Source organism: Homo sapiens, chromosome 1, assembly GCF_000001405.40.
Source record: "Homo sapiens chromosome 1, GRCh38.p14 Primary Assembly".
In the NCBI taxonomy this organism is placed as follows: domain Eukaryota; kingdom Metazoa; phylum Chordata; class Mammalia; order Primates; family Hominidae; genus Homo; species Homo sapiens.
In genome coordinates, this window is record NC_000001.11 from 95,012,044 (window position 1) to 95,037,759 (window position 25,716).

At 41.3% G+C, this 25,716-nt stretch overlaps 1 protein-coding gene and 1 long non-coding RNA gene across 6 annotated transcripts in view; one reads left to right on the plus strand and one right to left on the minus strand.

Moving 5' to 3' along the window:
* ALG14 (ALG14 UDP-N-acetylglucosaminyltransferase subunit) overlaps nucleotides 1–25,716 on the minus strand; it is a 98,547-nt gene that overhangs the window by 37,639 nt on the left and 35,192 nt on the right. For 3 of the 5 annotated variants that reach the window (NR_131032.2, XR_001737025.2, NM_144988.4), the window contains one exon: nucleotides 15,086–15,217. Coding sequence is in view for 3 of the 5 variants with exons in the window: in NM_144988.4 (NP_659425.1) it covers nucleotides 15,086–15,217 (132 nt within the window). In the remaining 2 variants the exon portion in view is untranslated. Of the gene's footprint in view, nucleotides 1–5,205; nucleotides 10,325–15,085; nucleotides 15,218–23,802; nucleotides 23,840–25,716 lie in introns of those variants that run through there. The other 2 variants (NM_001305242.2, XM_005270582.5) reach the window with 2 other exon arrangements.
* LOC105378863 (uncharacterized) lies at nucleotides 18,262–19,488 on the plus strand. Its single transcript, XR_947610.4, has 2 exons — nucleotides 18,262–18,352; nucleotides 18,524–19,488. It is a non-coding gene; the product is annotated as an uncharacterized LOC105378863 (long non-coding RNA).

Consider the following 25,716-nt stretch of genomic DNA (forward strand, 5'->3'; position numbering starts at 1 on the left):
ATCTGATGATTTTATAAGGGGTTTCCCCTTTGGCTTGACTCTCATTCTCTCTTGTCTGCTGCCATGTAAAACGTGCCTTTTGCCTTCTACCATGATTGAGAGGCCTCCCCAGCTACATGGAACTGTGAGTCCATTAAACCTCTTTTTCTTTATAAATTACGCAGTCTCAGATATGTCCTTATTGGCAGCATGAAAATGGACTAATACAAAAGTAAAACTCAAAACATTTAACCAAATTTAGTTTAATTCTCATTTCATCATATGAACTTCTACTAAATATCATTTGGATCTTTTCGTGGATGTCACAGTAACCTGAAATCTCTAGGTTGGGGAAATAATACCATCCAACTGGGTCAGAAGTAGACTCGGAACTGAACTCACACAAACTATTTTACAGTTGTTTCGTCTTATTAGAGTGAGCTACTGTGCACTGCAGTGGAGTCCAATAAGATTTTGCTGCTCATTAAGTAATAACTCATTCTTCACATCTGCTACTGAGAAACACAAATGCCAGATTTGGTAGTCATGAAAGCTGTGTATCTCAAACAGGCAGTTTAGTCATATACCCTATCACCATATGTGGGTTTCTCCTTGAGAACATCTGTGGTCCATGGTCAACGGGACCTGTTCCAGGAGCCCCTGCTTTGATAGAATTTCCTAGTATGTCATGTTAGAATCAGTGAATCAGAGACTCTTGGAGCTGGAAAGAAATTATAAGTTCAAAACTGATATCACAGGAAAAGTATAATCTGATGAGATACCAGTCAAGTCTTTCTTGTATTTGTCCTGTTGAAACAATGAAAAACAGGTCAGGCACGGTGGCTCGTGCCTGTAATCACAGCACTTTGGGAGGCCGATGAGGGCGAATCACCTGAGGTTGGGAGTTCAAGACCAGCCTAGCCAACAAGGTGAAACCCCTTCTCTACTAATAATACAAAAAAAGTTAGCTGGGTGTGGTGGCAGGCACCTATAATCCCAGCTACTCAGGAGGCCGAGGCAGGAGAATTGCTTGAACCTGTGAGGCAGAGGTTGCAGTGAGCCGAGATTGTGCCACAGTGACACTGTCTCAATTAAAAAAAAAAAAAAGAAACAATAAAAAAAAACCCAGAAGAATCTTTTCCTCTCATCACAAATGTTAGAGTTGCTATATATAATTAAATATAGAATTGTCTCATTTTTCTAGTGCAGGGTAACAAGCTGTATTTGAAATTAACCATAAGCTATTGTTTATTCACTTATCCTAGCCCTCCATCTCTTTTGATGGAAATAAGTTTCCTGCTCTTGTTTTGATTTATTTATTTTTTTTTTTTGAGACAAGAGTCTTGCTCCGTCGCCCAGGCTGGAGTGCAGTGGTGCAATCTCGGCTCACTGCAACCTCTGATTCTCCTGCCTCAGCCTCCTGAGTAGCTGGGACTACAGGTGCCAACCACCACGCCCAGCTAATTTTTTGTATTTTTAGTAGAGATGGGGTTTCACCATATTGGCCAGGCTGGTCTCAAACTCCTGACCTTGTGACCCACCCTCCTCAGCCTCCCAAAGTGTTGGGATTACAGGCGTGAGCCAACGTGCCTGGCCAGTTTCCTGTTCTTTTTAATAAAAATACAGCAACCAGGATCTGGATATCTACAATGTTTTGCCAACAACTAAAACAAACAACACCCCAAATCTGTACTGACTCTGCAGACAAAAGAGGTCAAACAATTACTTCAGAGTCTCAAAATTAATTTATAGGCCTAGTGAGAAAACTAGACTAGTCTAGTAGACTAGACTCCAGCTTGGATATTTTACTGTTCTCAGGTTCCAGTGAGATAAAATGCTTCAGCATATATTTTTAGTCATGGGTTATTTTTATTTTATTAGCATTGCCTTTAAATCACTTTTTTCTTAAAAAAAAAAAAAAACCCTTCCAGCATTTCCAAATTTATGATTCCCCACTTGAATTATGCAATTCCATTATGAAGCAATGGTCTATAGTTTACCCTTTATCCAACTTTTATCATTTTTTATTTAGAATCATTCCCAGAAATACAAATTAGCTGATTACTGAACAAGTTCTAATTACTCCCCAGAGACCATGGGAGCTTAGGGTTTCAGTACAGCATTGTTCACTGTTTGGCTGTGAAACAGACTTCCTCCTCTGGTGACTGATCTGTTATTGATTTAAGAACTGACCTAAAGGGCTATTTGTTCTGGGCGCTTTGAAGAGCGTTTGCTTCCCCTGACTTTCAGAACTATTCTGTTGGACATCCTGAAGCCTTAGGCCATAATCTTTACTATGTAGTTTGTGCAGCCTGGAATAATGGAATAGTGGCTAATTAACCTGTTCTCACCCCCAAAATAGGGCCTGTGATTTAAAACACCTCTAAAAAATCACACTGATGCTTCAGTCTGGAACCCTGAGGCAGGTCAATTCTGTTCCCAGTCCAGATCATCCTTCCTTCTTAGCCTCAGACTTGGGGCCATGGCTGGATTCTAGATTACAAACTCTTCTGAGCACAAATTGCCATCTCCATTTCCCATGGTGCCTAGCTCTAGTCTCAGCTCACAGCAGTTACTCAATACAAAATAAAAACAAATTTGTAAATAATTTTTTGAATTATCTACAAATAGTTAAAATTACATGTAAACTTATAATTACAATTATTTACAAATTGATTTATAAATAATTTTTATTTGTAAATAAAAAGCTTATAACAAAATTATGGCTAAATAACTTCAAAGAATAGCTTTGACAAGTAGGTTTTATGATCCCAGAGCAATGACATCAGAAAGTCTTGCACCATATTAATAGTTTCAGGCTATCTTAAGAAATAAAAAGTAATTCAATGAATAGCATTTTGTTTAAGAATTAAGTGAGCATGTTGATGGAATGGCAGCAGAAAAAGACTCGAGTTCCTAAGGCTTCATTATGATTCCTAACCCTTTGCAATCTGAAGAGAGCGCTATACAGTTTTAAACTTGCCACGGCACTCAGAATAGGGGAGGCCTAAGTCCCCCTTCTTTGATAACAAAGAGGGCAGAACACACCTGATAGTGGGTTGGGAGCAAGTCAGGGTAATAAAGGTGAGCCAAGAAGCAGTTCAAGGGGCTTGTGAATGCCATTCACCTCTCAGTGGGATCCAGGAGGGATCAGAGGGTGTTAGCTGAGGACGAGATATTTAACCGAGAGAGATGGAGATCTGCAGGGAGCTGGGACTGGGTGCTGCTAATTTCCATCTGGTAGAACTAGCGTGTTCCAGTTCCTTACTATTCAGTTATTAATCAAAGACCTCTCCAAGCACCTGACACACTGCTAAGCTCCACAGGGATAATAAAGCCAGAAAGCTTGGTTTTTGACTCTTAAAGTACTCACAATCTAATTTGGGGAGGGAGAAAATTCAGCAGAAGTTAAATGACTAGAGAACAATTAAATGCTAAGCTCTAAGTTCAAGAGGAGTTCACAGGAGGGCAAGATCTGGATGGAGTAAAGGTGCAAGACAAAAAGCCTCAGAAGAAGCCTCAAGAAAATGAGGAACCAAACTGGGGAACTAAGGTTGTTTGTAAATCAGGTGCATGTGGATAAGCCCTTCTTGAGAGGGGCGGGTTTGGACGGATGTCCTTGAATGGTGGTCCAGCAGGACAGAGCTGAAATTCATTAGTAAATCCTGACACACTGTTTTTGGAAGCGATGGAGTCTGTGATGAAAATATAAGAGGGCTGGAAAACAAAGAAGACAGAAGCAAATAATCCTTGGTTGTTTCCATGCCTGAAGAGGCTCACTGTGGCATGAAAATCAACATGAAAACAGTCAGAATACCATAGCATCCAAACTGGGCATTGTGTAGACATTCCGTGGTCTAAGTTTTAAAACATTTATTAACTCCTTATTAGCCTCTTGATTTCTGGAAGAGAATATTTAACTTAATGACAAAAGAGGAGAAAGATCCAGCAACCTACCATGGGGGCTTCTTATGCATGAATGTTCACACAAGACTATGAAGTAGATATCATGGTCCCTGTTCTACAGATGAGGAAAAGGAAGTTTATGGAGAATAAACAGCTCACCTAAATTTGTCCAAATGGTAGAGTGGCAGACCTAGATTTTAAACCCTGGTATGCATGTTGCCCAAGCCCATTTTCTCTATCCATGTAGACAGCACCTGATACCCTTCGAGAGAAGAGTCTATGATGTCTCATTTGTTGTGTGGTCAGAGAGCTGAACCTGGAGCTGGGAGTGACAAGAACTGTTTTTTTTTTATTCATGCTTTCCTATTAGTTCTAAGACTTTGGACAAGGCACTCCCTTCTTTTGGTTCTATTATCTAAACTTTAAAAATAGGGTATATAATTAAATTGTTGGTAAGGTATCATCTGTGTAAGTTTGTAATTCTAAGTGTACAAATGCCTTCTCCATCAGAGAATGACCATTGAATAATATGACTGCTCTAATAAAAAGAGGAAAGGGAATATGCAGACACATGCTGATTTTTATATTTAGAAACCCACCAAGATATAAATATAAATTTAGAAATCTGCCAAGATCTAAATCTGATAAATATGAACTGTTCTGCCACAACAGCAATGGCAGCTCCAGGACTTTAAAGAAGAAGGTTCAGTGACAGCAGGTTTATCTCACAACTGTTTGCAATAAGCCCACTGCCTTCATTTATATGGCATGCATTTAGTCCCCAAGAACATCTATTAGGCCTCCAAGCCACCCCTCAGCACTGCTACTGCCCACTCAAATCCTCAGAAAAAGGCTTGAAGGCTGCACACAAATACAATCCAGTCAGGGAACCTACAAAAATGAAACCACCAGAGGTAAGAGACCACAGAGAGGATAGCCTAGACAGGTAGTCACTATTTAGGGCTGCTTAACATCCATCCTGCAGTCACCAGCCCTTGCAATTTTGCAAAAGGGGTGTGTGTGTGTGTGTGTGTGTGTGTGTGTGTGTGTGTGTGTGTGTGTGTGTGTAGTGTGGTGTGAAATACCTTGACCAAATATGTGGTCCCAATACTGACCAACTATGTGAATCAGACAAGATGTGTGTGTCTGCTATCGCCCAAGGATCATCAGTTTGCTGCAGAACTGGCTGATAAAAAAGACAAGGCAGGAGGCCCTGATGAGTGCTGGTCTTAGAAATAAAAAGGGGATAATTGAAGCAGACAAAAGGCATTGAGAAAGACCTTGTCCAATTCACATCTGAATAAAGTCCATCAGTAATCCCTAAGTTCCTACACATCTAACTCCTGCAATGCTTAACTGTTTTTAACACCTATCTGCTTCCTACAGTCAACTGCAGGAAAAGCCTTAAAACAAAGAGTCACTGTGCTAGGAAAAAAAAATGGCAAAACTGGTGAAAATTAAAGTTCATTTCCCAGTAGACCTAAGGGAGACCTAGGAGAAGAATTCCTGCGGTATAATCTGATCGGGGCAGTTGGAAAGGAGTGCAGGTAAACAGGCCAACCTCTAGGGTCTTTGTGACAAAAACAGGTGGGAGAGAATGTCAAGGATAAGATGAAACAGGGGCTTCAACATGATCCCAATGGAGGGGAGAGGTGTAGATGAGAGGAAGAAAGAGAAAGAACAGTTAAAGCATGGAAAGAGACAGAAGAGAGAGGAGGGCCACGAGCATGTATCAGGGAGGGCCATAGAAGGGCAACCACCTTCTCGAAGGCCCCTTGGGATGTGTATGGGTGACAGGTGCTCCCTAAGGAAACCCTGGGGAACCCCAGAATGACTCTAATAGCCACATCGACATCATAATTCAAGCACATATATATATTTTTGAGATCTACAATATCTAAAATCCAATGAGGCACTGGAGCTCCAAGGATCATATGTCCTGGCAGGAGGTGAGCAGAAGTAAGTGGTTTTGAATGGCAGGGAATCACTTTCCCAGCAGAGGGAGTGGCTTGGTTAAAAGCAAGTGCATCTGCCAACTGTGATCCTTCTCTTGGAGCTTCTCATTACTCCTATTTGATAGGAAGGAGAAGCTAAGTCAGAGAAGCTAACTGATTAGCTTTGAGTCACCACACCTAACTACTGACAAAGATGAGAGTAAAGCCAAAACCTCCTGATTTGTAGGATGGTATTTTTTCTTGTGTATCACAACTGAGGTAAAATGGATGCAAACCAGAAAAAAAAGTAGATTGGAAATTATAGGAAATCAAATGGGAAGCAAATATTCAGGATGAATTCTCAATGAAACCTATAAAGAAAATATGAGGTGGCCAGGCGCGGTGGTTCAGGTCTGTAATCCCAGCACTTTGGGAGGCTGAGGAGGGCAGATCACTTGAGGTCAGGAGTTTCAGACCAGCCTGGCCAACATGGTGAAACCCCGCCTCTACTGAAAATAAAAAAATTAGCTGGGTGTGGTGGCACACTCCTGTAATCCCTGCTACTCGGGAGGTTGAGGCAGGAGAATAGCTTGAACCCAGGAGGCAGATGTTGCAGTAAGCCGAGCTCATGTCAATGCACTCCAGCCTGGGTGACAGAGCAAGATTCTGTCTCAATTAGTAGAAAAAAAGACAAAAGAAAAAAGAAAAAAGGGACGGAAGGAAGGAAGGAAGGGTAAATATGGGGAATTCTTTTATGACCTTAAGAATGAAAGTTTGCCTTATATAAGCTGCACCTGGTTTCCACAGAGAGCAGGAAATTCACCCCCTACCTTCTCCCAACCTCCAGCCCCTCCCAATTCTGTTCTTTAATAGAAGTGACCAGTGGGGAATTTTTCTCTCCCTGTGTGACTTCACAGAGATGAATCATGGCTCCTTGAAAAACTGCAACAGGCAAATTGGCTTAGGAATAATTAAACAGCAACAGACCAAGTTCCCTGAATCCAGGCACTGCCTCCACTAACAAGGTTTATCTACAAAATACTGTACTGTGTAAGTAAATCTTGTGAAAAATAACATCTGGAACTTTAAGATGTAGACACAACTGATTTAAGCATGTGACACCTGTCTTTAGAGAAAAGTGATTAGCCCACAAAAGCAAACCTGTTTTCACAAACTGTCAGCCATAAACATATTTTAAAAATTGCTTGTGTCAAAGATTTGTATAAGTGGCTTAAATGTGAATTCAGGAAGACCAAGAATGCAAAATGGTATTTTGCTAACAAATGGAATTTGCTGCCCTTTGCAATTCTACAGCTGATTCCACTGCAGGATTTCACTTTTTATGGCAGAATATGGAAGTTTTGACATTGCAAACACGTGAAACTTATAAATCTGGTATTCACATTTCTTAAAAGAATTATCAGTCACAATATGTTCTTTCTGTAATTTGAAGGTCTTATCAGCAGGGACCTTCTTGCTATTTTTAAGCATGTATAATACCAGTTCAAGCTCTCTAACCTGTTTCTGATTGGATCTTTTACATTCCTCACCCAATAATGCTAACACAGCTTTTGCAGTAAGCCATAATAGTATTTGAAATTTGTAAGGTGTTTACTCATTCCACTTATCCTCATTCTTGATTGTAAGGTCCTTTTGAAGAACATTTTAATAATTATTTGCCCATGTATCTTAGGGAAAATCAGTTAACCCTTTTGACTATGTGGAAAAGGCACCACTGAAGTTGAGAAGCCGCTTGGCTTATATCTGCTGTAAAATGCTGTCCTGGTATGAGTGGAATTTCAAATTGCATGCTAACAGGTAAAGAAGCGATAACCTGGCCGGGCACAGTGGCTCACGCTTGTAATCCCAGGACTTTGGGAGGCCAAGGTGGGTGGATCACCTGATGTCGGGAGTTTGAGACCAGCCTGACCAACATGGAGAAACCCTGTCTCTACTAAAAATACAAAATTAGCCGGGCATAGTGGTGCATGCCTGTAATCCCAGCAATAAGCTTTCTACAGCTGATTTAACTTCATGTATGTTTTACACTAGAAAAAGAAATCCATGATACATGGCCGGGTGTGGTGGCTCATGCCTATAATCCTAGCATTTTTTGAGACCGAGGCGGGTGGATCACCTGAGGTCAGGAGTTCAAGACCAGCCTGGCCAACATGGTAAAACCCCATCTCTACTAAAAATACAAAAGTTAGCTGGGTGTGGTGTCATGCGTCTATAATCCCGCTACTCAGGAGGCTGAGGCAGGAGAATCGCTTGAACTCGGGAGGCGGAGGTTGCAGTGAGCCGAGATCATATCACTGCACTCCAGCCTGGGCAACAGAGTGAGACTGAGTCTCAAAAAAAAAAGATAAAAAATTATACAAGGAGAAAAATAAGTCATCAAATTGCAAAGTATCAAAGAGTAAGCGCTAACTGAAAAAGATACATCTACTCAATGACTTCTGGGCAGGGTAAACAAGGAATTAGAAAGACCATGAAGGAGAGGGCCTTTGATCTCCAGAGGCTGTTAGAAAACACTATCTGTGTTTTAATCTTTTTTTTTTCTCCCCCAAATGAAGTAAAAAATGCTAAGTGGTGGCCAGGCGCAGTGGCTCACTCCTGTAATCCCAGCACTTTGGGAGGCCGAGGCGGGCAGATCGCCTGAGGTCAGGAGTTTGAGACCAGCCTGACCAACATGGAGAAACCCTGTCTCTACTAAAGATACAAAATTAGCCAAGCATGGTTGTGCACGCCTGTAATCCCAGCTACTTGGGAGGCTGAGGCAGGAGAATTGCTTGAACCCAGGATCCAGAGGTCACGGTGAGCCAAGATCACACCATTGCACTCCAGCCTGGGCAACAAGAGCAAAACTCCGTCTCAAAAAAAAAAAACAAAACAAAAAACCCCACAAAACTCTAAGTGGTTCTACAACACCAAGAAATTAAAGTAAAGCAACTATTGATGAAAATGTTTTGGAACTCGATGCTGTAAAGGTGTGTGGTGGTTGCACAGCATAGTGAATGTACTAAAATGCCACTGAATTGTACACTGTAAAATGGCTAATTTTATGTTATGTGAATTTCACTTCAATTAAAGAAATAAAGCAAGTGTACTCTGGTTAAGGTGAATGAGAAACTTTCGCCATTTTCTTATGGTGCTTTGATAAAGAGAATATTTAACACTTTAGAAACATGTTATCAAAAAAATCCTTAGACGAATTCAGCGATTAATTCAGAGGGAGCAAAAGTTAACCAAGGAGCAGTTATGCAATGTTTTTTTCCTATTCTACTTTTTCCAGCCCACCTAAAGGCTGTAAATGGTCATCATCAGGTTTTAATAGCTTCTCTGACTTCTCCTTTCCTAATCTCTCTCCTACCCAGATTTACTCTTTCAAAATTTATTGAACTCCTACATGCCCCACGCTCTAGAATAGGTGCTAGCACTGCCAAGATGAGTAATACACCTCACCGTTCCTCAAGGAGTTCACAGTCTGTATTCAAATTTTTAAAACTTCCCATGACGCTTCCCTACTGACTCTAGTTACACAAACTCTAAAACTTTAATGATCCCACTTAACTTGGAGAGCAGCACCCTTCTGAGGCTCTCCATTACATATTCAATTATCGGTGCTGTCTGTGCCCCCTTCTTTTATTTTTTCCTCAGGTCAAAGAGCGATTTTAAAGATTCTAAACAGAAACATCACTTTCTTGATTTTCAAGTGCTATACAAATAGAGCTCCTGCTTCACATGATCCTTTAAAATAAGCACTGAAAGTCTGTGAAGCTGGGACTGGTTCTAGGAATTATTCATGCATCTAAGGTCATTTCAAAGGCTTCCCTTCTCTTCACCCCACCCTCTGTTCTCACCTCGTCACCAGCATCTCCCATTACCCTCATCTATAAGGCCAGGTCTCTGGAGCTCACTGCCTGTGACCACATCAGTCCCTTCTTCAAAAACAGTTTTGTTTACCTCATGTTTTCCTTTTTCTTATCCTCTCACAACTGAATTCCTTTTCATTCAACTTTCATTTTTGTTTTAACTGTGACCTCACAGCTATCCTTGGGAAAACACATTGGCTTTCACCTTGAAAGGAAGAGTCCCCACCAGCCTCAGATCCAAAATGAGCCTGTGATGGGCTGGAACAGTGACAACTCAAGAGTGATGCAGGCAAAGCAAAACAAGAGAGCAAAAATCACAGGCAAAGCCACGCTGGCTTCTGCAGACAGGAAAAATGTAATGTTTGCCAAGTGGAAAAAGCATCGACTTAGAAAGAAAAATCATTTTCAAGCTGCTGAGAGTCCCCCAAAATGGAGACGAATCAAAACAACTCAAAGCAATCTAACTGCTAATATGCAGCCTAATTTTGACACAGATGTTGTTCGGAACTCACTCAATGTGAAACAGAAGCTATAACATTTAAACTAAATACCTCATTTATGGATGGAAGCAGCTACAGGTTGTCACTCAGCCAATGTGTCAGTGGCACAGCTGGTAATTTCACCATGCAACTGGGAAAAGCAGTTTGTCAGTCACAAGAAACCAGATATTTGGGGGGATTTTCACATCAAACCACTTCTCGCAGTGGACTCTGACCATCATCAGACTTGCTAAATGCACGTACAGTGCAGGGCCAGTCCTTCTGTATCTTTAAGGAGGCTGCCAAATTTACAGCGCATATATGGAGAGGAAACACACAGTGGGAAGGGGTAACACTGGCATTATTTTAACACATTATAGAGGACTGGGCAACAGAGGAGCAGGAACTGAGGAAACCTAAACAAATGGCTCCCAATTATGATTTCATTAATCTTGGAAAACATGAAGCAGTAAGACAAGTGTGGTCTAATTGTTTCTCATCTGACTTGGCTTGGAAAACCTTACTCTCACTTAATTCCATTGACAGATAAACATCTTGGGACAGCTGACCTTTTCTTTGTCTAGCCAAGTTTCCTTTGAACATGTTATAAAGTTTTTTGATCACCACCAAATATAATACCAGATGAAAGTCATTATACAAAGAGAATCAAATTAACAACAGTTAAGGAGAAAAAGTTCCTGTAAGGGTTCTGGCATGTCAACAATTAACAAGAGTTAATTGCCTCTTCTTAATATTTCAAACACATGTTAATTAGTAGGCCAATAAAAATTTTATATACTATACAAACAGTGATAATCTTGGTGCCACCTAGTTTGTGGCTCACCACAGAAAACACCTAATCAAAAAAAAAATCACAGTATCCTACTTATAGATAATAACCCACCATCCATGTCATCAACTTTTTTTTTTGAGACGGAGTCTTACTCTATCCCCCAGGCTGGGGTGCAATGATCTCAGCTCACTGTAAACTCTGCCTCCTGGGATCAAGCAATTCTCCTGCCTCAGCCTCCTGAGTAGCTGGGATTACAGGCACCCACCATCATGCTTGGCTAATTTTTGTATTTTTAGTAGAGACAGGGTTTCACCATGTTGGCCAGCCTGGTCTCGAACTCCTGACTTCAAGTGATCCGCCCGCTTTGGCCTCCCAAAGTGCTGGAATTACAGGCATGAGCCTCCGCACCCAGCCATCAACTTTCTACTGCTATGAACTTAGACATTTCACAGCTCAAACTGGGTATGAAACATGGAAAAAAATGACTAAATAAAATAATGGACTTCTTTCATACAAAGCGTGAGTGAGTGTAGATGTAATAAGTACATCTAAATTTGTCATGGTGAATTAAACCAGCTTCAGGCAAAGAGGCAGAGTATTAGGTTGAAATGGTCCATTTCCTTTCAATTTGTTAATATGGAGAATCTGAAATTTATTTTTTACTTGATTAAAAATTAAATTAGGTTTCATTTTTGTATGCAGAGCTCTTTCCTTGAGTATTTCATTTGGTAATGGCCAGGGTGGAATGAAGCCAGTAATCAAACACTGCAGACTTTGGAAACCCTCCTGGTTTTTCAGACTCTTAATAAAGCCTGAGAAGAGCACCAGTGTAGGGAGTGGGTGTCTTTGTTTTTGTGATGACTCACTTAATCCAGTATTCATTCATTTATTTTTAAGTCATTCCTCAAATATGTGGAAGCTTTTCTAGAAAGGACCATGGAAAACGCAAAAATACTTGGCCTTTACCCTCAAGAACTTTATAGATCTTTTTCCCCCAACATAAGCAGTCCTCTTACTTTAATAATCAGCAATCTCACAAATTAACTTTTCTATTCTTCTCCTTGAAACAAATTCCTCTTTAGGAGTATATTTTCAAGAGAATATGAGATCAGCCTACTCATTCGATCCGGCTAATTTTTTTGTATTTTTAGTAGAGATGGGATTTCACTGTGTTAGCCAGGATGGTCTCGATCTCCTGACCTCGTGATCCGCCCACCTCAGCCTCCCAAAGTGCTGGGATTATAGGCATGAGCGACCGCGCCCGGCCTTTTAAATAGGGTCTCTATTTTCAACTGAATTAATCTGTATTTCAAGTCTACCTGTTGTTTCTTTACTCCATTTTCCCTGAAGCCAAAGTATAAGCTTCCTGAAGAGCTGTTTTATTCATCCCTTTTAGTACCTGCTGCATTAAAGATATTTTTTAAAATACTGGATAACTTTTCAATTGAGCAAGTTAGCTAATATTAGCAGAATCTAATACATGTCTAAAGAAAATTGGAGTTACATAACATCTTGGTTACTTAGGTCTCTCTGGCATGGGCAATTTCGTGGATGTTCTTAAAGTGAACATGAAGACTTGAACAACTTGGTTTGCATGACTTTTGTGGGATTTTTCTGGGTCAAGTGAATAGCGAGCCATTTTCACAGATCACCTCAGTCCACTCAGGGGTAGAGCTGTGTTTACTTTTATACCTCGAGTGCACAGTATAAATCCTATCACAGAATAGGGTCCTAGTCAAGTTTCATCATGAGATTTTAGGAATTCAGTCACATCTTCAGGCTCTACTTCTAATTCTAGCTCTGTTGCTACTTCCATCACCTCTGCAATTACTTCTTCCACTTGAGTCTTGAACCTCTCAAAGTCATGCAGGAGGGCTGGAATATACTTCTCCCAAACTCCTGTTTATGGACATCTTCCCATAAATCAAGAATGTTCTTAATGGCATCTAGAATGGTGAATCTTTTCCAGAAGGTTTTCAATTGACTTTGTCCAGATCCATCAGAGGAATCACTATCTATGGCAGCTACAGCCTTACAAATGTTTTCTTAAATAATAAAACTTGCAAGTCAAAATTATGCCTTGATTTATGGGCTGCAGAATAGATGCTGTGTTAGCAGGCATAAAGATATTAATCTCCTTGTATATCTCCATCAGAGCTCTTGGGTAATTAGGTGCATTGTCAATGAGCAGTATATTTTGTATTTTTTTAAATAAAAACATCCAGCCCAATATATCAAGAGCAGTAATATTTTGAAAGGAAGCTTTGTCTCTTGAGTAGTAGGTCTCAACAGTGGGTTTAAAATATTCAGCAAACCATCCTGTAAACAGATGTGCTGTCATCTAGGCTTTGTTGTTCCACTTACAGAGCACAGGCAGAATAGATTTAGCATAATTCTTAAGGGCCTGAGGATTTTCAGAATGGTAAATGAGCACTGGCTTCAACTTAAAGTCAACAGCTACACAGAATCAGCCTGTCCCTTGAAGCTTTGAAGCCAGCTATTGACTTCTCTTTAGCCACGAGAGTCCTGAATGACATCGTCGAATATAAGGCAGTTTTGTTTATATGGAAAACATGTTGATTAGTGTAGCCACCTTAATCAATTATCTTAACTAGATTTTCTGGATAAATTGCTGCAGCTTCTACATCAGTACCTGCTGCTTCACCTTGCACTTTTATGCTATGCAGATGGCTTCTCTCCTTAAGTCTCAACCAACCTTTGCTACCTTCAAACTTTTCTTCTGCAGCTTCCTGACCTCTCTCAGTCTTTACAGAATTAAAGAGAATTAGGACCTTGTCCTGAATTAGGTTTGGCTTAAGGGAATGTGACTGGTTTGATAGTCTATCCAGACCACTCAAACTTTCTCCATATCAGCAATGAGGCTATGTCATGTACTTATCGTGAAACCAGTGTGTTCACAGGAGTAGCACTTTTTTTTTTTGAGATGGAGTCTCGCTCTGTCGCCCAGGCTGGAGTGCAGTGGTGCGATCTCGGCTCACTGCAAGCTCTGCCTCCGGGGTTCACACCATTCTCCTGCCTCAGCCTTCCGAGTAGCTGGGACTACAGGCGCCCACCACCACGGCCGGCAAATCTTTTGTATTTTTAGTAGAGACAGGGTTTCATTGTGTTAGCCAGGATGGCCTTGATCTCCTAACCTTGTGATCCGCCTGCCTCGGCCTCCCAAAGGGCTGGGATTACAGGTGTGAGCCACCGCACCCAGCCTGGAGTAGCACTTTTAATTTCCTTCAAGAACTTTTCCTTTGCATTCACAACTTGACTAACTGCCTATTGCAAATGCCTTCCTCACTAAGCTTAATCATTTCTAGCTTGTGATTTAAAATGTGAAACATAAGAAATACTACCTTTCACTTGAACACTGAGAGGCCACTGCAGGGTTATTAATTGGCCTAATTTCAATATTGTTGTGTCTCATAGACAGGGAAGCCCAAGGAATGTGTGTGTGTGTGTGTGTGTGTGTGTGTGTGTGTGTGTGTATGTGTGTGTGAGACAGAGAGAGGACAGCAGGCTGTTGGAGCAGTCAGAACACATACATTTATTAAGTTCACTGTCTTATGTAAGCACGATTCACACTGTCCCCAAACAATTACAACAATAACATCAAAGATTACTGGTCACAGGCCAGGCGCAGTGGCTCATGCCTGTAATCCCAGCACTTTGGGAGGCCGAGGCGGGCAGATTACTTGAGGTCAGGAGTTCAAGACCAGCCTGGAAAACATGGTGAAACCCCATCTCTCTTAAAAATACAAATATTAGCAAGGCTTGGTGGCATGCACTTGTAGTCCCAGCTACTCAGGAGGCTGAGGCAGGAGAAAGAGTGCTTTGTGATAAAAGTCACAAAAATCCAAGGATGATATCTTAGTCTATTTCAGGTGCTATAATGAGATACGATAAACTGGGTGGCTTATAAAGAACTGATATTTATTTCTTACAGTTCTGGAGCCTGGGAAGTCCAAGATCAAGGCACCAGCCAGTTCAGGGTCTTGCATACTACCTGGCACACTAATAAATGGTAGCTGTTTAAGAAAACAGTATGTCCTGTTACTAACGAAAGATCTACAGGGAGTTACTTTCTCTCTCCTTAGTGATGGTCTTACTTACCAAATCTGGCTTCACCCTGTGAATTAGGGGAAAGGAGAGCCACATGGAGTGCAAGGTGGTGAAAACGGTGGAGGGCCAGGACTGCTGAACCTCCCGGCTTCTTGGAATTCGGTGAATGTAGTATTTGGTATACTAGAAGGAAACAGATGGAATCCAAATCAACTGAGTCACTGATATCAAAGTTAAACATAGTAACAATTAACAGCTGTAGAAACAGAAATGCTTTCTTTAATTTAAATTTTCATTCTAACCACTTTTAAATTAGAGTTGTAATGCCTATCTCATGCTTTATATAACACATCAGATGGGATCACATATGACAAAAAAGTTCCTATGATTCAAAAAATGTTAAAGCCAGTTTGAACAATAAGTTGGGGGAAGTTTCTATAAACTATGTTTCAGGCAAAGAATTTAACCTGCTGATATACAAAGAATTCTTACCAGTCAATATGTAAGACAAGTAACCTAGTATCAAGATGGGCAAAGACAGACAGATAACTCCAAATGGAAGAAATACAAATAATGATAAACATGTAAAAAGATGGCTAACAAGCACAACAGAAAACAAGTCATTTTCGCCTACCTGATTGGCAACGACAGTGGATAACCAGTGTTGTTGAGAGTATGGGGAAATAGACATTTACATTCACTGGGTAAATACATGGGTACAACTTTTTGGGAGGGCAATCTGGAAATATCTATCAGAACTTTAAATGTGTCTTCCTTTGATCCAGCATTTCTGCTTCTGGAAATATATCCCACAGATTACCCCACTGTATCATTGTTTGTATTTGTGGAAACTGAAATTAGACCAAATATTCTCCAGTAGGGAATGGAGAAGTGCATACAGTAAAATATATGGAGATATATTAACAAATGACATAGAACTATATGAACTCGTATGGAAGATATCCCAAGACACGTTAAGTGAATCATGCAAGTTGGAAGACAGCATGTTTAATATAATCCAGCATCAATTAACAAAATACTCACATGCATACATACACACATCAGTATTTGTTAGTTTGGTTTTTTTTTGAGACAAGGTCTCACTCTGTTGCTCAGGCTGGAGTGCATGGTGCAATCACAGCTCACTGCAGCCTTGACCTCCCTGGGCTCAGGTGATCCTCCCACCTTAGACTCCCAAGTAGCTGGAACCACAGGCACATGCCACCATACCCAGATCTTCCCACCTCAGCCTCCAGTAGCTGGGACCACAGGTGTGGGCCACCATGTCCACCTAATTTTTTTGTATAGACAGGTTCTCGCCATGTTGCCCAGTCTGGTCCTGAACTTCTGGGCTCAAGTGATCTACCCACCTTGGCCTCCCAAAGTGCTAGAATTACAGGGTTGAGTCACTATACTCGGCCATGCATTAGTATTTTCATTAAAAAAAATCTGGAACTGGGCTGGGCACAGTGGCTCACACCTGTAATGCGAGCACTCTGGGAGACCCAGGCAGGTGGATCTTCTGAGGTCAGGAGTTTGAGACCAGCCTGGCCAACATGGTGAAACCCCATTCTCTACAAAAAATACAAAAAATAGCTGTAGTCTCAGCTATTTGGGAGGCTGAGGTAGGAGAATTGCTTGAACCTTGGAGGCAGAGTTTGCAATGATCAGAGATCATGCCACTGCACTCCAGCTTGGGTGATAGAGCAAGAGTCTGCCTCAAAAAAAAGAAAAAGAAAAAAAATCTGGAGCTGGAACTACATGCCAGAAATTACAGAGAAGATGATATTACAGGATATTTTCATTTTTCAGGTCAGAATAACTTTGAATATGTTTAAAATTTGCAACAAGAAAGTGATATTTTCATAATCAAGAGAAACCAACATATTTTCCTTGAATCAAAATTCCAGATATATTGGTTACCTATTTCTGTGTAACAAATTATCTCCAAATTTACCAGCTTAAAACAATAAGTATATTCTGTTTTTCACAGTTTCTGTGGGTCAGGAACCAAGAGTGGCTTAGTGGCTTGCAGTGACTCATGAACTTGAAATCAAGTGGGTGGCTGGGGTTGTAGTCATCTGAAGGTTTGACTGGGGCAGGAGAATCCACTTCCAAGGTGGCTCACTCAATGGCTGGCCATTTAGTGCTGATTGCTGGTTGGTGTCCTTAGTTCCTTGCCAAATGGATCTTTCCATAGGGCTCCTTAATTAAGTGTTCTCATTATGCAACAGCTAGCCTCTTAAAAGTAAGTGCTCCAAGAAGAGGCAAGGCAGAAATTGTCACGTCTTTTATGACCTGACCTCAGAAGTCACATTTTGATATTTCTGATATTTTGATATTAGTTACACAGATCAACCCTATTTGATATGGAAGGGGCTACACTGGAATGTGAACACCAGGAAGTGAGAATCATTGAGGGCTTTCTTGGAGCCTGGCTACCACACAGTTAAGTCAGAAAGAAAAGAACAGAATAATTAATACATTCTTCCTTTCCCCTTGGCCTTGAGAAACAATATGTTCCTTGAGAAAAGAAGATAGAGAAGCCTTTTTCTAAACCAGTGAAAAGCATATAACTACATTCTTGCACTCAGAAAAAGGTGTGAAATTGTGTTTGGAGGCTTCTATTATGCTCCAAGAGAACATGAGTGCAGTTCTTACAGACTCAGCAAAAAGTGAAAATGGAAATGTGTGACCACTCTGCTTCTTCATATGATGGCAAAGAATATTTTCTCATCTCTCCATGGTATACCAGTGTAGAATGGGAGACCTGGGCTCAATATGTATCCACTATTTTTATTTATTTATCAATCTTTTATCAAATCAATGTTTTTCCTTCCAGAAGCTAAGGTACTAAATATTGAACTAGAAACTAATACTGAGTAGTTCCCAAACTATAAACCACTCAGAAGCAATAGCAAATTGTTTGAGGTTTATGCTCATCTAAGTTGTGGAGATTACTAATTGAAAAACAAGTAATAGGCCAAGCAGTACTGTAGAGTCAAAATCCCTTCTCAGAAACCTTTTGGGTCAGAAGTGTTTGGACAGGTAATATGGTTTATATACCACATATTATATAATATCCTTTTTTGAAGTTTGGGAAAGAAATAAAACATATTAATATCTCTGCAACAATACATGAATATTCACACTAAACAGGATAAATAAAGACTATAAGCTTCATGCTGATTCAAATCAGGTTTTGCCGTTAAATAAGCTTGTGACAAACTGGATTTTTTTTTTTTCCAGTTTTCAGAGCTCTTTAGGATTTCAGACTAAGGGACTGTGGACCTATACTACAAACTACATTTGAATCCAGTAAGATGTCATGTCATTGTTATTATTGTGATAAAAATAATTCAGTAGAATTCCATCATAGAAGTTTTTTTGGCTGTTACTTCCACCAAATTGTGTGGCCTAATCTCAATACCTATAATATTTTATTTAAAAAAGCATGGGTGTTTATCATGTTCCTTTAATTTTGTTAAGGCTGTGAGCATACAACTTTACGAAGCAGCAGCAATGAACAACATTTCTGGATTATATCCAGACAGTGTCACCAGGACTGGAAGGATGATCAGTTTGATTCTGGCTCCCCTGATTACACCTTGGCTCCAAGGACATAAACATCCAAGCCTGGTAAAGCCTATGCAAGAGCGTCTGGGGCTGGAGATAGCTTTCCTAGACCTGGACGTGGAAGAAAGTCTACATCTCATCCCTGGCAGCAGCCTGGAGCAGCTAAGAAAATGGGTTTAGGAAGTCTCAGTCCATTTTCAGAAGAATAGAAACTAGTGCAAGCATGTTCTGGGGTGGGAACTGAGGGACCTCCAATATATAAAATAGAAAATCAGGCCTGAGGGTAAGGCAACAAGACCAGTAACTAAAGTTTGATGACCTCTCTTTTTACTTGTGGATGTACCATACAAGGAGCCAACCTCCCAGTCTCCAGACCAGAAGTTTAGCTGGGAGGGGAGTCTTGGTTCCATTTGTGTGCTGGAGCTAGCTCAGCCAATGACCACATGCCTACAGTGACCAATCATCTAGACTGCAGAGGTGGATCTCAGCCTACACTTGTTGTCTCAGCATAATTATTGATAGTGCCCCATGCTCTCAGAAGTATCAATTTAAATAATAAAGCACATGGTTATCCACAGGGTAGGGCAATGAGGAGCCTCTTCCAAGTCAGAGGGCAGGATACTTGTTCAGCACAGCCTGAAGAGTCAATATGGTGGGAGAATCTGCATCAAAGTCAGGGATGAAAGTTGAAGTGGTGGCTGGAAAGAAAGCCAAGGTGGAAGCCCTAACCGTGACATTAACAATGACTGGCACGGGACAGGAGAGTCCATCTGGTGCCACTCTCTGGCTTACAGCTCTAAACTAGAGAAGCTCCACTTCCAAATCCTATCCGATCTTTCTCACATTATTTTTTGACAGTAAGTTCAGGTAACTGAAAATCCTACTAAAAAGACTGCTCTATAAATCCAAGTCTCCACCTACACATCCCCCCACCATTGTAGCATATCCGTTCTCCTCAGAGATATCTTTCCTGACTAGCCTTTCTAAAATATCCCCATCCTCCCCTCTCCCCATCCCCACGTACACATATTCTTCCCTCCTCCATCACCAAACTTTCTGTGTGCTTTAAAATAACATCTACTATACTGGCATATTATATACTTATTTATTTATGTATTGCTGTCTCCTCCATTAGAACATAACTTACACAAGGAGGCCAGGAACTTACTTTTTAGACGGAGTTTAGCTCTTGTCATCCAGGCTGGAGTGCAGTGGCACGATCTCAGCTCACTGCAACCTCCATCTTCTCAGTTCAAGAGACTCTCCTGCCTCAGCCTCCCAAGTAGCTGGGACTACAGGCACGCACCACCACACCCACCTAATTTTTGCATTTTTAGTAGAGACAGGGTTTCACCATGTTGGTCAGGCTGGTCTCCAACTCCGGACCTCAGGTGATCTGCCCACCTCGGCCTCCCAAAGTGCTGGGATTACAGGCGTGATCCACTGCGCCTGGCCCTGGGCCAGGAACTTTAATCACTGCAATCTCAGTGCTTGTAAGAGTACTTGGTTATAGTTTGTAGTAAAAAAAAAAAAAATTTTATTGAATAAATAATTCAATATGTCATTACACAGTAATATAAATCAATTCCATCTTCCTATCACCTAGCTGAGATATATTTAGAATATAGAAAGGACACAAGGGGGGTAATTTGAGAGTGTATACTTAAAGCCTTATTTGCAAGGGCCACTCTTTAAATGGGTTGAACTGAATGGAATTCATGAAGCTAGAGGAGAGAGGCTGGGGTAGTGCAGGGAATTGTGGATTTATAAACAGCCAAAGCTAGAAGGCACCAAACCCCAAAGGTTGGGGAAACAGGAAGGAGGGACACAAAGGAATCAAAGACAAATGTCCCCCTTCCCTAACATGTTCTAGGTGAAAAGCCTCTGTGGGTCCTCTTTCCAAAAAATAGGACCATGAGAGAGGAGTGTGCTGAGGCTTTGAGGTATGCACACAAAGGGGAAAGGAGCCTGCCAATTAGAGCAGCAGGGCATCCCCTTCTGCATCTAACAATGCTTCAAAAACTCTCTGCCCCACTGTTTTTCTATGATACCTGCTATGCTGCCAGGCAGTCAAGTAGATGGGAACCCGGGCCATCCTGACAGGGACAGTGCCCTCAGATTACCTATACTTGACACAGAAATTGGGTACTGGGTTACTTGATGTCCTGTGTCATTTAAAGGAAACACTGAGAGCCAGGCTGTGGCAAAATCTTAAGAGAGTTTTTATTATTTTACATAGTTTTAGGAAATAAAATCAACTATATAAAGAAGTCAATGAAAAATAATCAATACAAGGCTTATATTCTGGTCTTAAAGTTTCCTTTGAAGACAAGGGAATGAGACAGAGGTTCAGACAGCTACAATTCAGGCCTGCTATGACCTTTGGCCAGGAATTACCTAGGGGTTCTGATATCTGGAGAAATCCAAATGAAGGCATCTTTATAGACGTTGTTTTTGTTAGTCTGTACCTTTGCTCTAAGGGAACTGTTCCTGACCCAGCTTCATGTCCTATAATGGGATGCAAGACATAAAAGATGCCTGCTCCATCATTTTACCACCCCTACCTCCCACTCCCAGAACTACCATTTGGTTCAGGAGTGGCCACATAACCCTAGCAGGGCCAGTCTTTTCCTGGATTCCTATAGACCAAGGAAAGTAGTTCTTCCTTTGAGGGACACTGTAGGCTGCTAAACTGGATCTCAATCCATCCTACGGGGGCTGAGAAATACATACATACATACATACATACATATATATATATATATATACACACACACACACACACACACACATACATATATATACACACACACACACATATATATATACACAAATATATATATATATTTGTATTCCTCTATCCACTAGGCCTTTCTACAGTGACTTAAAACTATTATATTTTCCACCACAATGGGCTACTCCTTCTGTATTCCCAAGGTAGAAATCAACAAATCAACAGTAAAATCTATCATAGATTTCCTTCTAGATATGAAGATCTATGAGGTTGCCAGGGACCGAAAGGAGAGAGGAGGCTGCCCCCATGTTTCCTTCTCCCAAAACTTTTATACACATTCCATAGCTAACCACTTATTCCACATGTCTCGGCTACTCCCACAATTCAAGTCATTACCATCTCTCACCTTGACTACTTCAACAGCCTCTTAACTAGTCTCTTTGCTTCTCCTCTTGCTCCCCTACAATCTATTCTTTATAGAATTGCCAGACCCATCTGTTTATAATGTAAAGCAGATCCTTTCATTCTCCTGCTTAAAATCCCACAAAGGCTTTCCACTGCACCAAGTCCAAATGCCTTACAGTTGCTCCCAAGGTCCCATGTAATCTGGTGCTGGCTCACATCTCTAATTCCTCCTTGTTCATTCACTTGAGCCACACTGGTCTTCTGTCTGTTCTTTGAATGTGTCAGACTCACTCCTTCCTGAGGGCCTTGTCTGCTCATTCTAACAAGTTTGATTTGCTCCCAGACTGTCTCACAGCTAGCTCCTTCCTGTACATCAGATCTTGTCTAAACATTACCCACTCAGAGGGGAGACAGTTCTTCTCCAAATATGTGGTCTCTCCACCACACTGTCTTGTTTTACCATCTTCATAGCAATCACCATTACCTCCAATTAACTTGTTCATTTATGTGTATATGTGATTGTATGTAGTCTGCCCCTCTTCCAGGGATGCAAGCTCCATGAGAGAAAAGGATTTCATCTTGCTCACTGCTACGATCCCACTGCCTGATGTTTTGCACATCATGGGTACTCAGTAAATAACTTGCTGAACAGACAAATGACTATCATTATAATTTCTAGAAGTCTAGTCCATGCTGGATGGTGATGGGGAAGATGCTGGCTCTTAACCTCATGACATCTCAGGGTTTTAAGGGACATACTATTCCAACTTTCTCACTTTGCAGATGAGGAATCTGGACTTCCCTAAAGTGACAGCACCAGGACCTGAACCCAGGTCTTCCATGTGTTCTGAAATATGCTGCTGACTCACCTCCTTCTCTAGATCTTGCTTGGATCTCTGTGTCTCACTGCTGAGGAGCTGCTTTCCCCAACATATAAGGAGCTGAACCACGAAGTTTACTCCCTGCCTCCTGCTACTCTTATGTATAGCCAACTACTCATCCTGATCCATTTCCTTTTTCTTCCTTGATTTTTCAAATCACCCACTCTCAAACCCATAGAGTTTGTTGTCTCTTTCCCTGCCTCTACAGGAACTAAGCTCCCTGCCTCCTCCTCTCTCTTTGCCCTCTGTGCCCTGTTTTGCACTGTAGGCTTGGGTTACCAAACCCACCTACCACTGTTACCAGTGACCGCCCGCCACCTACCCCGACACATTCCCTAAGCCTTTTAGGGGAAAAATCAAAATAAGAACACAACAGGACCTCAGAAATTTTGAGACTTTTCTGTTGAACTTTAGGCCTCAAGGCCCTTATGGCAAGTTCTGCTGTCCTGCTATTGCTCCTACCTGGCAGTCAGCTGGGTTATATGTTCCTAGAAAGGATGTTTTTGTTTTGTTTTGTTTTGTTTTCTCTCTTTCTTCTCTGTCTCTTTCTCTCTTCTTTCTTTCTTTGTAGTTCAATGTGTATATCCTGCAAAATTTACCTGTCTTCAATATAATCCAGTCTCTTTCACACTATTGGCCAAAGAAGTAAGACTCTTTCTTATTCTCTATCGTATAGAAGAAAACATATTTTAGTGAAACAGTGAAACAACCTTTCCATCTCAGCTTCCTAATTCCTGTAGAACAGGGCCATGTCCCATAGTACTCTGTATGCCCACAAGGCCTCCCAACGCTCCCTATATGAACTTGACTGATGTATAATCAAATATATGGTGGCAAGAGAGACAAGAAAAGTAGGATGCTGAAGAGTGAAAAAACAGAGAAATGGATTTTGTTCAGGCTTCTAGTGTCTGATAGTATATGAAACACTGAGTTAAATACTAACAGTATATGACAACTTGTAACTTTCAAAGTATGTTCCAGAATTACATCACTGTTAAAAACCACAAACATATCTGGCTTTAGATTTGTGAAAACTAAATAGGAGTTTATAGTGATTTAGATGGAAATAATTCCACCAAAGAATCCAGATGGCATCATAAACCACAACAGAGGAGATCAAGTGGTTGATGAAGTCATTCTTTGCTGTTACCACACACTGAAACATACAATACCTTTATTATTTAGTGAATGCCACACGACTGAAAAGTCCTGGAAACAAGACAAAGTTAAAATGGTAAAATTTCATTCAACCAAAAATGGTTTCAGCTTTCTTTCATAACTATTTAAAAATAATGCAATGTATATTTTTAAATGTATGTTGGATGGTTCAACTAATCATTATGAAATCAAGATGACCATAATTTACCACAAAATTTTTTTTTATATGTCCTTCAAGTACTTGGTAGATACTTTATGGTGCTGATGAAATGCCATGAAGTGTCATATAAGTGAGGGTGCTGTGGGCCCCTGATATAGTTTGGTTGTGTCCCCACCCAAGTCTCATCTTGAATTGTAGTTCCCATAACCCCCATGGGAAGGACCAAGTGGAGATAATTGAATCATGGGGGCAGTTCCCCTGTGATAGTGCGTTAGTTCTCATGAGTTCTGATGGTTTTATAAGGGGCTTCCCCCTTTGCTGGGCACTTATTCTCCCTCCTGTCACCCTGTGAAGAGGTGCCTTCCACCATGATTCCAAGTTTCCTGAGGCCTCCCCAGCCATGTGGAACTGTGAGTCAATTAAACCTCTTTTTTTTTTTTTTTTTTTTTTTTTGAGATGGAGTCTCACTCTGTTGCCCAGGTTGGGGTGCAGTGGTGCGATCTCGGCTCACTGCAACCTCCACAACCCAAATTCAAGCAATTCTCCAGCCTCAGCCTCTCAAGTAGTTGGGATTACAGGTATGCGCCACCATACCCGGCTAATTTTTGTAGTTTTAGTAGAGACGGGGTTTCACCATGTTGGCCAGGATGGTCTCAAACTCCTGATTTCAGGTGATCCGCCCACCTCGACCTCCCAAAGTGCTGGGATTAAGGGCGTGAGCCACCGCGCCTGGCCCAAGCTTCTTTTCTTTATAAATTACCCAGTCTCGGGCAGTTCTTTATAGCAGCATGAGAACAGACTAATACAGTCCCATGATGGGTCCTGCTGATAACCACTTACTTTGCATGAATCAAGCTCTCTGGACCTCAGTGTCCCACTGTGAAGCAAGGAGGGCTAGCTGAGATCAGGGATCCTTAACTAGCCACCATGATCCCACAGCTGGCTCAAGACTGGCTTGTCAAAGAGAAATGAGGCTGCACTCCAGCTCTGCCCCAGGGCCTGAAACCACCCCTCACTTTACCTCCAGAAGCTTCTCCTTGCCTGGTGGTCTGAGACTTCAGGGAAAAACAAAGTAGTTTGTTTCTGAAAAAATTATGGGATTCTGGCTCAAAAGATTTTTAAAGCCTTTTATAAATGCACATTTATTCTCTCTCAGCCTTTATTGACTCCTTCTTTTGACAATATCGCAATTTTCCTTTGGGTAACTCATTCCTCTCATATTCTCAGCCGGACGGTTTGGTGGTATTTGCCTCCTGTCCCCTTCACCCCTAACCCTGCCTCTAAGAGTAGGCCTGGAATGGCTGAAGCAACATGGAGGAATCATTCCTGGCTACAATGATTAGCTGAAAGATGGGAGTATAACCCCACTGGAGTACCATGAGGCAGGAGATGTTTGCTGGGGCTCTCTCTCCCATATGCTGTAAGAGATCCTCTTCTTCCTCATGAAGAGGAAGAGACATGAGGCCAGGAGGTGCTACAGGTTTTTGTTACCCTAATGAGAGAGCTTGGAGCTGCTGGAGGCAGCACTGTGGGAAGCCCGGTGGAGCTGCCACTGCAGAAGACAGAGCAGAGAGACAACTCTTGCTATAGGGATATGCCTGGGCAACCGGACCAAGCCTCGCCAGAAATAAGACTGAATTTTTCCTGTTTTGTAAGTTGACAAATTCCCTTTATTGTTCAAGCCAATTTTAAGCGTAGGTTTATGTCACTTGAAGTTGAAGCACCCTTCCTTTGTCCTTAAAATGGTAAGAAAATTGCATTCCTTTTC